At 58.6% G+C, this 10,774-nt stretch overlaps 1 long non-coding RNA gene across 1 annotated transcript, besides 3 other annotated features; it reads right to left on the bottom strand.

Moving 5' to 3' along the window:
- Positions 863-1,668: an enhancer, noted in NCBI's record as "H3K27ac-H3K4me1 hESC enhancer chr2:233361686-233362491 (GRCh37/hg19 assembly coordinates)". NCBI's record gives its function as "activates a minimal SCP1, AML or CMV promoter by ChIP-STARR-seq in naive H9 embryonic stem cells {active_cell/tissue: H9 hESC(naive)}" and the evidence as "EXISTENCE:reporter gene assay evidence [ECO:0000049][PMID:30033119]".
- Positions 4,337-5,156: an enhancer, noted in NCBI's record as "H3K4me1 hESC enhancer chr2:233358198-233359017 (GRCh37/hg19 assembly coordinates)". NCBI's record gives its function as "activates a minimal SCP1, AML or CMV promoter by ChIP-STARR-seq in primed H9 embryonic stem cells {active_cell/tissue: H9 hESC(primed)}" and the evidence as "EXISTENCE:reporter gene assay evidence [ECO:0000049][PMID:30033119]".
- Positions 5,157-5,977: an enhancer, noted in NCBI's record as "H3K4me1 hESC enhancer chr2:233357377-233358197 (GRCh37/hg19 assembly coordinates)". NCBI's record gives its function as "activates a minimal SCP1, AML or CMV promoter by ChIP-STARR-seq in primed H9 embryonic stem cells {active_cell/tissue: H9 hESC(primed)}" and the evidence as "EXISTENCE:reporter gene assay evidence [ECO:0000049][PMID:30033119]".
- On the bottom strand, positions 6,254-10,701 carry LOC124906124 (uncharacterized). The gene is made up of 3 exons (XR_007088123.1): positions 9,685-10,701; positions 6,660-9,328; positions 6,254-6,564 (listed from the first exon to the last, which is right to left on the bottom strand). It is a non-coding gene; the product is annotated as an uncharacterized LOC124906124 (long non-coding RNA).

The raw sequence follows: 10,774 nt of genomic DNA, 5'->3' as shown, positions 1-10,774 counted from the left end.
GGAGGTGGTGATGATGTTGGGGAATTAGGCGAAAAGGATGATCTAGATAAGGTGATGGTGCTGATGGTGGTAGAAAAGGGGAGGATGACAAGGATGGGGTGCTGCAATTCAGGTCTAGTGAAGAAAGATAGCAAGGCACATAGGAAGCTTGGTGATGCAGGGGTATGAAGCCAAAGGGTGCTTCTCTGTGGATCCTGTGCCTACCCCACCTACTGTTAACCCCCTTGCCTCCAGCCAGCCCAGGAGAAGGCAGAGGTTTCTCTTCTTTCCTGCCTGACCCTGGCTGGGCATTGGTCGGGGCTCTGGTCTCGCCATGGCCCCCTGGCCTTCCCAGGTCTTTGGGAAGCATCCACAAGTCCTGGTGGCCGATGTGAGTCCCGGTTCTCCAGACCCAAAGGACCTGTCAGCAGGTGATCATGGGGTCCAGAGTGGCAGGCATGGACTGGTGCATGGGTCTTGAGCAGGAGTCCCAAGGCTGTGGCCCATCCCATGGGCTCTGAGGAGGGTCAGGGTAGGGCTGTGGACCTCAAGTGGGGTCCACAGGAGGAGACAGTTATGTGGGCTGGATGGGCAGGCGGCTGCGGTGCTTCCGAGTTTGGAGTCAGACCTGTTCACATCCAGTTCCACCACTGAAGAGCCATAGGTTAAGAAACCCTGGCTGTTTCGTAATCTCCCCAAGTCTCAGCTTTATCTCTGTCCCGACACATAGGGTCATGATTGTATTTTTCACAGGTTGGGCAGTCAGCAGAACACCTGCACCTGGGAGGCACCCCAGAGACATTGCTGACTGACTTCATTATCATGACCTTCATTGGCTTTGATGGGCTGCATAGACCCCTGGCCTGGGCTGCACCCGGGATGGTCATAGGCCAGGCCCGGGCAGGGCTGGGGGCTCCTGGCAGGCAGGCTGGGCTCAGATGCTTCACCTCCCTGACCCCTCCATGCGCCGGCTCTCCACTGCCCCCACCCCCCAGCCTCCCCCTGCGCCCTCTCCACAGGCTAGCGAAGGCTCTGACGTGTGAAATAAAAAGAGATTTTTAATTACCTCTCAGCAAAACAGCAATTAGAGAGAATCACAGCACAACAGCGGTCCCCTCCTCCACTCCCCCAGCCAGGTCCGCCTTCTCGCCTATTTCTCCTCGCAACCCCAGCGTGAGGCTGGATGTGACAGGAAGTCCTCCCATTCAGCTCAGGCCCCCGTCCCTGTACCCCAGGCGTGGGGTGGGCGAGTCAAAGGTCAGGAGGTGGTCTGTGCTGGGGATGGGGGTGGGAGGGTGCCAGGGGCTGTAGGGAAAGCCCCCAAATGATGAGGGCTGCTTGGGCAAGTGGGGCCTCCTTCTGCGCAGACCTCGAGGGTGGCCAGGACCCCATCTCTCTGGGGTCTGCGTGCAGACCACAGGGCTCTGCATCCACACCACGTGTGCCCTGGCAGTGCCCGTCCCTGTGTGCATGACTGGCACGTGTGAACACCCGTGTGTGCACGTGAGCCTGGCAGCAACCTGGGGCGGTGCAACCCTCAGGATGAGCAGGTTGTGCTGGACAGGCAGCGCATTCTCCTGCAACAGGCTTTTAAAATAATTGCCTGTGACCCTGAGCAGTAGCTCTCTGTCCGCTGGCTGCCCCTGCCCCAGGCGCCTGCTGCCAGGGGTCACTGCTCTGTCCATCTGCAGAGACTTGGGCACCTGTGCTGTACTTGGGGATGGGGCAGGGAGGGCGGGTGAGGTGGCCCCGTGGGTGGCCTGAGGCTGGGGGCGGTGGGTGGTGGGTGGCTGATTGAAGGGATAATTGCAGGCAGCAGGCCTTAGCTAATGCATGCTATGATAAAGCCCCATTACTGAGGGAGGCCGCTGAAGCATGGGGGTGGAGGCTGGGGGGGAGGCCGCCTATGGGGCGCTGACAGCCTTTCTCATGGGAGGGGGAGTGGGCAGCCACTGACACCTCTGCAGTCCCCTACCTTCCAGAGCTGCAGCCAGATGAGTGGGGAGAGCCAGGCCCCAGGGGTAGGAGGGACCCGCCCCACAGACACGCACGACCACCCCCGGGCAAAGGTCTGCAAGCCTCCACTCAGTTGTCTAGGGGCCCAGCCCCCATGGAGGAGCAGCAGTTTCCTGGCCATTAATCTTGGGGTTCCTGTACTGTGGAGCCTCCCAGCCTCAATGTTAGGGAGTATCATCACTGGGTTGTAGAGGTCAGACTGGGCCAGGTGAGGTGGCTCACGCCTGCAATCCCAGCACTTTGGGAGGCCGAGGAGGGTGGATCACCTGAGGTCAAGAGTTTGAGACCATCCTGGCCAACATGGTGAAACCCCATCTCTACTGAAAGTACAAAAATTAGCCGGGCGTGGTGGCGGGTGCCTGTAATCCCAGCTACTCGGGAGGCCAAGGCAGAAGAATCGCATGAACCCGGGAGGCAGAGGTTGCAGTGAGCCTAGATCCCACCACTGCAGCCAGCCTGGGCGACAAGAGTGAGACTCTGTCTCAAAAAAAAAAAAAAAAAAAAGAAGTCAGACTGGCAGTGAATGGACAGCTGACAGCAGGGACCCCAGCTCATTGGGTGTCACAGATGCCAGCTACCTGTGGTGGGGGCACAGATTAGACTGCTGAGTCCCTGCAACATGGCCCCAAGTCTCACCCACTTGTCTATGGGGAACAGACCTCAGCATCCATTTCCCAGAGGCCCAGAGCAGGTACATGACTTTCCTAAGAACACACAGCCGGGTCTGGATCAGACCCCACATACCCCTAATCTCTCAGTGTGGTCATTTACCGGCTGTGTGACTGTGAAAGTCACTTAATCTCTCAGGGCCTCAGCTGCTTCCCCTGTAAAATGGGATAATAGTAGCACCTGCTCCTAGGATTGTCCTGAGGAGTGAATGAGATAATTCAGCACTAATGCCCAGGGCCTGGCCTGGAAGTCAGCTGCTTCTATCCTCAGCGCTGTCTTTGTTCTCTGACCCACATCATTGTGGTAGGCAGACTCCTAAGATGCCCCCAAGATTCCCGGCCCCCGGTGTACACATGCGCATCCCACCGCTATTCAACTGAACACAAATCTGGGGACTGGTGTGCAGGGATTTTGCAGATGTGATTAAGGTTCCAAAAGACTTGACCTTCAGGTAAGGAGATTATTGGGGTGGGCCCGACCTAAGCACATGAGCCCTTCAAAATCAGAGAGTTTTGCCAAGTGCAGTGGCTCATGCCTGTAATCCTAGCAGTTTGGGAGGCCAAGGTGGGAGGATTGCTTGAGCCCAGGAGTTTTGAGACCAGCCTGAACAATACAGTGAGACCCCGTCTCTTAAAAAATAAATAAATAAAAGCAGAGAGTTTCCCGGGCTGGTCAGTGTGAGGAAAACAGAAACTTGAAGCAAGTGGAAGACTCCACTGGAGGGAATTCTCCATTGCTGGCTGTGGAAATGGAGGGGGCCTCTGGGAGCTGACAGCAGAACCCCAAAGTGGACACCTTGATTCTAGCACTTCAAGGAACTGAATTCTGCCACAAACCCTGAGCTTAGAGGAGGCCCCTGAACCCCAGATGAGCGCCGTATCCCCAGCCGACATCTCGATTTGGCGCAGTGGGGCCATGGGCAGAGAATCGCATGCCGTGCCTGGACCACTGACTACAGAAACTGTGAGGTCATAAAAGGGTGCTGTTGTAAGTAGCTATGTTTGTGCTACTTTGTTTTGCAGCAATACAAAACTAATAACCCTCTTTGGTAGTTCTGTCACAGGCTCTGGGACCTCTTGCCAAGAGGGGAGCTTGGTGCCAGGCTGAGGGGCAGCCCCAGGCATAGCTGGCACTCTCCGGTGACATGTGGATATGCACCTTGCAGCTGGCTACTCCTGGCAGGCCTGAGCACCTCCCCAAGAGGCTGTCACAGGTGGAAGGGAAGGCAGAAACTTGCCACCCAGGCTTCCTGCTCCGGGCCGTGCTGGAGTTGGGGGAACCTTGTACCCAGTTGCCCGTCCTCCAATCTGACCTATCAACACAACAGAGGAGGAGGCCTGTGGGAGGCCTCGCCATGTGCTGTCCAGCCCACAGCCCCAGGGTGGGTGGCAGTGGGTAGAGGTGGGGCAGAGGTGGGCACTGATATTCACAGTGATGCAGGGTGAATCACGGGAGCGCCAAATCTGCTTCTCTAGTCCTTTACCCACTTTAAGGAGCTTCTGACAATGCCTGACCCCTCAAACACACAGTCTGGAAGAAGGCCCCACAAGGGGCCATGGCCCTGTTCCCAGCCCCCCGCCTGCCAATATCCCCCTCCCCAGACCCTCTGTCTCCTCCCCTGCACAGCCCTGCTCTCTCTTCAAAAGGGACAATTAGTGGCCTCAGCTTTAATTAGCTAACGATCCCCTTCAGCTCCAATCACTTGAAATGATGATGGAGTGCTGGGGGAGGGGACTGCAGGCCCAGGACCCTGGCAGCCAAGGAAGTGGCCCTCCAGGCCATTCAGGCTTCTCTGCCTGTCCCAGGCTCGCCCTTCCTTGCAGTCCCAGGCAATGTGCCATGGAGACCCTGACAGGAAGGGGTGTCCCCAGCCCCCACAGCCTCATTTGCATCCCTCTTGCAGCAGGAGCTGAGCTCCTGTCGTGGCCTGTCCATCAGATGGGGAGCCCAAGGGACCTGCTTGTCAGGGCTAGAGACCACTGGCCGGAGACTCTCCACTGCCCCCTCCTTCCTGTCCCCCATAGCCACCATCCGACTTTGACTGCAAATCTGGCCCCCACTCCTGACTCCCTGCCTTGTGGCCAAGGCCTTGCCACTTAAAGGTTGGGTAGGAAGGACAAGGCAATAGGAAAATCTAGGGTTCCAGCAGAGCTGAGGAAGAGAGGCTGTCGTGAAAATAGCGAGTCACAAGATAACGTCAGGTAGGGACAAATGCGGTATGGGATGTACCCAGTGCCACAGACAGAAAATGGCTTGGCCTCTTCAGATAGGGAAATCCAGGAGGGGCCTGTGGAGGTGGCGACATCGGAACGGAGGCCAAGGTCCCGGCTGCACGCCCTGAGATGCCTCCTGAGGTCGCTGAGCAAAGCCACCTTTGGCACCTCCAACGCAGTTTCTGGGCCTGAGGTCCCAGGCTGGGACCCTGGCTCCGAGCTGCCGTCACTTGGGTTCCTGAGTGCCCTGCTGCCCTCTGCAGAGCTGTTCTTCCATCTCCCAGCTCGCAGTGTGCATGGCCCTGTGACTCTGAATGCAGCAGACACAGGGTCAAGCCTCCGTTTCAGTACTGAGTCTCTGCGTGAACCTGGGCATCTTCCTTTCCTTCTATGCACCCCAGTTTCTTCCTCTGTAAACTGGGGACAACGACAGGGCTCCCTCGTGGGCTTACTCAGCGTGAGGTTCAGTGTGGAGGGGATAGAGGTCTTGGCGCAGAGCATGGCGCTTGGGAGCCGCTCCGCATGTGACAGTGGCTGTTCCACCCACAGTTGGCGACAGGCCTGTCCAGGTTGGAGCTGGGGCCTTGTTCCATTCAGCCTGGCCCAGGCTCTGGGCACCCCTGCTCTGGGGTCACGTGCCAGGCTCCGGGCTGGGCACTGGGGGGCATGCATCCCTCCGTGCCAGGGGCCCTTGGGCAGCTTCCTCAGGTGGGGGCCTGTCAGGGGGATCCTGGAAGCTTGAGATGGACCTAAAGGAGGGACACAGGTCTGGGGACACAGAAGTTGGGCAGAGGGGACAGCTCGAACAAAGGCTGTGCTATGAGTATGCCATGCTGGTAGAGGAGGGACACTCAGGGGAGCATGAGGGGACCACACCCAGGAGGCCTCAGAAGCCACAGTGGCCATGGCTACACCGAGGCTGTGGCTGGGAACAGGCAGAACTGCAGCAGCACCCAGGTAGGCAAGGAGGGAGAGACCCCCTTCTCCACTAAGAAAGGGAGGAGGAGGGGCCAGAGCTGGAGACAGGAAAGGGATAAGAATGAGAGGAGGAGGTGAGAAGTCTTTCCAAGGCTGGGTTTGGAGTGCAGTGAGTTTCCAGCGCCAGCGGGTGTGGGTGGGACCTGGGACCAGAGCCAAACACCTGGGCACAGCATCCAGGGGATGGAGGAAGGGCAGGAGGCAGGGAAGGTGGGACAGGGCGGGCAGAGAGGGAGAGTGCGAGGCAAAACTCTGGGCCAAGGCCTTAGGATTTGGAGACCAGATGGGGTGAGTGAGACAACCTAAGTATCCCTCAGTCACAGAGGGTGACCCCGAGGACCTCTGGCTTGGAAACACTAGCACAGGCCACATGGGGAGGAGAGGCACTCAACCATCCATCCTATTGTGTCCTATTTATTAAAAATAAATCAGTAAGGGCTGGGCACAGTGGCCCACACTTGTAATCCCAGCACTTTGAGAGGCCGAGGTAGGCGGATCACCCAGAGTTCAAGACAAGCCTGGGCAACATAGCGAGACTCCAGTCTCTACACAATAAAAAAAAATTGGCCAGGCATGGTAGGAACACCTGTAGTCCCAGCTACTTTGGAGGCCAAGGTGGGAGGATCACTTGAGCGTAGGAGATCCAGGCTGCAGGGAGGTGTGATTGCACCACTGCACTCTCTCTGGGAAACACAACGAGACGTCATCTCTAAAACAACAACAAAAAAGACGATAAAATAAAGTGATACCCAGGTGGGCCTAGATGCTCCCCCTGCAGTGGTCGCAGAGCCTACCTGGCCTTACCTTGGGAGGGCTGAGGCTGCGTGAACGAGGACTTTCATGTTTCTCCTCTACAAACTTGTGTGGCTTCAATATTTTAAAACAAGAGAATATTTACATGTTTCTTGTACAAAAACAACATTGCTCCAGAGGTTGGGAGGTGACCCCAAGAGGAGTCTATGCATGGCGAGGACAAAGCCTACCACGGGGTTCAGAGTGGAGAGGAGGGGTGCAGGAGGGTGGAAAAGTGGCCCCCACTTTGTCATCTGGTGGGTTCCAGAGCAAAGGAAAGGTGTTCAGGATCTGAGAGCCTGGGCAGGTTTGCCTGGGTGCTGTGCCTGGTGTATGGCTTGGCGCTGAGAGATGCTTCAGGCAGGGCATCTCCATGAACTGATCACGGACGTCACCTGAGTTTATCATATGCGTCCCCTGTCCTGGGCTCCAGAAGGGGCCGCGGGCTACCTGGAGGGGAAGAACAGGGGCTGCCATAGGAGAGACTTTGCATCCGGTGGAGTAGGGGCCTGTGGAGGCAGCACCTGACCAGATGGGAGAGGCCACTTCCAGGTGGCCCTGAAGGATGGTTGGCAATTGGCCACCGTAAGAGGGGACGGGGGAAGGGTGTTCCAGGCAGCTGAAACAGCAAGTGCTAAGGCCTGAGGGATGACAGAGCCAGCCATGTTCTGGGAAATGGAAATAGATCAGAGTAACCAGAGGAAAGAGGGAGGTATGGGGGTGGGGAGGCAGAGAGGGACAAAGACAGAGAAGAGCCAGGAGGAGGCCCTGCCTTGTGGGCCACACTAAGATGCCTGAGCTCCCCCGTGAGGGGTGAGGAGGGGTTCTGCCGTGGAGGCCGGAGTGGAGGCCAGGTGTCCAGCAGCGGAGGCCAGTGCCAGCAGTCGAGGCCGGAGTGGGCCTAGTGTGGGGTCAGGACCTAGCAAAGGAGCTCAGCCAGAGGTCTGGACAGGGTGGAGGAAGCCAGGCCAGGAGGGCCGGGGGGTGTGGGGAGGTGATAGGCCAGGCCAGGGAGCCCAAGGGCTGCCCTTGAGGCACAGGAATCTGAAAGCCAGTGGAGGACAGATCCAGCTGTCCCCCCGACCGCCCTGCCAGAGGTAGGCCCCACTGGAGGCTCAGGCAGGACCAACGGGCACCCGTCACCCCACCTGGTCACAGCAATGGGGAGGAGTGGAGGCCTGGGGCAGAGTGGTGGGGTACTGGGCCTTTGGGGTCTCTCAGTTCGGCTGTGGGCCCCGAGCTTTCCAAGATGAACCTGAGTCAGCACCGTGGCGGCTGTGGCGGCCACGGCGGCTCCGGCCTTCCTCCACCCCCTCCCTGCCACCCCGGCCACTTGGGAGAGTCATTTCATTTCTCAAATTAAAAATCCATTTTGTGCTGTGAATAATAGATGGGATGAGCCCCGAGAGGCCGGGTGGAGGACAGGAAGCTGGCTGGAGGCGTGTTTTTAGGGCTCAGAAGATACCACAGATCTGCAGGGGAGGAGTAGGGCCTGGTTGGACAGGGTGGAGGCTGGCGGGGCTCGTCCTGGAGCTGACACCCTGCTGCAGCACACCGAGGCAGGGCAAGGGGTTCATCCCCACCCACGTGCAGGCCGCAGGAGAGAGGCGGGTCCGACCACAAATGGGCTCCAGTCAGGACCAGGCCCGGCGTTAGGTGGGCAGCCCCACCTCAGAGCAGGGCACTTAGCAGCCCACATGGTGAACGTGCAACAGATGCAAGCTACTGGTGACAGCACACTGTCCTCAGGGAGGGCTCTATGTCCAGAACCCAAACCAAGTGATGCCCTGTTCGGCAGAGTTGCTGGGATCTACCCTTGGTCAAGGAGGAGACAGAGAGTCAGGTTCTGAACCCCTCATCTCTGCCCCCTTGCATCCCCTCGGGCCTTTTCTCTCCAAGGCAGCTCTGGCAGCACCCAACTGCTCCCTGAAGCTGGGCACCCAGCTGCCTCACTCAGGGCTTGGCTGGGTTTAGCTGGGCACCACTGTGGCCTGTCATTCTCTTTCTCATGAGTCATGGGGTCATCTTGGTAATTAGGGGTAGGAAGAGATCCCCCAAAAGAGTGAGCAAGCTACAGGCCAGACCACTGGTGCCTACTCCCCTACAGTGCCAGCTTCCCTTACAGAGAAGGTGCCGGAGAGTCAAGGAGGTGGGCCTCTGACTTCTCTTTATTGGCAGTCTGTGTGGGGTGGCCAGGACTGAGGGGTCAGAGGGCCCAATTCCAAGTCAACTCCTGTAGGCCCTGGTTGCTGCTCTCAGCCCGGGGCTGGGGGATGCGATGTGAAAAGAAAAGGTGAGGTGGAGCCAGGCAGGTCGCCCGGCAGGGAGTCGGGAGGCCCATGAGCAGACCAATAGCAGCTGAGTCTGGGAGAGGGTGGCTGGAAGGGGGGTCCCAGAGCTGACCCGGGAGGGAGGAGGAAGGGATGAGGGAGGGCAAAAGGAGGGAGGAGAGACTGAGGGCCTGGGGGCTGCCCCCCACCCCACCCCCGGGACTGGAGCAGAAGAGTCCCTAGGGAAGCGTGTTTGCCTCTGTGCCTTTCTGTCGGAAGAGGCTCTCTGAGACAATATCCATTTTTACATTTCTTGGAAATTTCATGGCATTCATTTCGGGGAAAATAAAAGCTGTCCTTGCTGGAGAAATGATACCAATCAGGGCCTGAAAAGGCTGGAAAATTATCCTCCTGGAGACGGGAACATTGAGGGAAAAATGCAGATTAAAAGCACAAAGAGCCACTTTGCCACCTCCCTGCCCTCCCCTCCCCCCTTCATGGAATCGCCACATTATAAGTAATTCCATTTTTCCTCTTTAGAATTAATAGGACCCAAGAAGGATGCATGGGGCAGAGGACAACCCTGGGGTGGCCAGAGATGGAGGCAGGGTATCCGGAGTGGGGGCTTAGAGATGGAGAGATGAAGAGGCAGGGAGAGGCAAGACAGGGGCAGAGGCCGGCACTCAGGGCCAGGGCTCAGGAGCTGGGCAGATGCACAGACCCTGAGGAGGAGAACAGGATGATGGGTAGGTTATCAGAGTCCCTACCTTGTTGTGATTTTTATTAGATGGTGCTCCATGGCTCTCACACATTGTTTAAGCCAATCCTACGGGCTGGAGCCGGCAGACCTGGGAGGGCTGGTGCTTTGTGGGGTCTCCTGCTAGAGACACCAGAGGCAGGGTAGGGCAGAGAAAGCAGAGACTCCAGAAACAGTATCAGTCTTCCAAGGAGCCCCAAGTTCTCTGTGTCCCATTAGGGCCAGGCTGTCTGGCCAAGGCAGGCAGGCAGGTAGAAGAGGGCTTTGCCTCCAGGCAGTGGGGAGGCCCCACATTTAAAAAGCCAGTTTACCTGGAAGAAGGCAGGCGGTGAGTAAATTCAGAGTCCCTGCACCCAGCCTGCCCTCCCATCAGTCCACATACCAGGGTCTTGAGGCTCAGGGCCTGTCTGAGGCCTAGGGCTGCTGGCCAGAGGGGGCAGGCTCCAGCCTTCCCTGGCTCCAGCAGGGAGACTTCGCTCATTCTTCTCTTGGCCTTTTCTTCCTACCTGGGCCAGGGACTCCCTGAGCCGTGGTGCCAGGGCCACCCAAGGCTGGGGAGGATGGGGAAGGGGGCGGCAAGCCCTCTTCTTGCAGGAGTCCCCGCTGAGCTCCCTTCACCAGGGGCTAGGTGAAGGGAGCGAGGCCAACCAGAAGCCCTAGTGGAGAGCCCATCCAGGGCAGGGGTTCCAAGGAGGACAAAAAAGCCGGTTAGTGAAGGTGCGCTCTGCGCCAGGGACTGTGCCGGCAGACACAGGCACTACTGACACCGCCCCCAGCCCTTCGGAGGAGTCCTCGGCTCCTCATCTCCAGCTCCAGCCCCTTTCCAGCCGGCTGGTGGGCGGCTGGGAGTGGGGACACTGGATCGGAGGGGACCCTTCACGGGAGTACTCGCTGCCCTCACTCGTCTCGGAACGCGGCTGGACCCGGAGTCCCCGACCGCAGCCCGCGCACGACCCCCGGGAGCCTGTCTCCGCGGCCGCCGACCCACGTCCGCGCTGCCGCCCCACTGCCAGGTGGCCCGAGAGATGCAGGAGGAAGGAGGGGCGCGCGGGGCGGGCGGAGGAGGGTGGAGCCGCCGGCGCGCCCCCTCCCTCGGGCCG

This window comes from Homo sapiens, chromosome 2 (genome assembly GCF_000001405.40).
Source record: "Homo sapiens chromosome 2, GRCh38.p14 Primary Assembly".
Lineage (NCBI taxonomy): Eukaryota > Metazoa > Chordata > Mammalia > Primates > Hominidae > Homo > Homo sapiens.
This window is presented reverse-complemented; position numbering and strand designations above follow the sequence as displayed.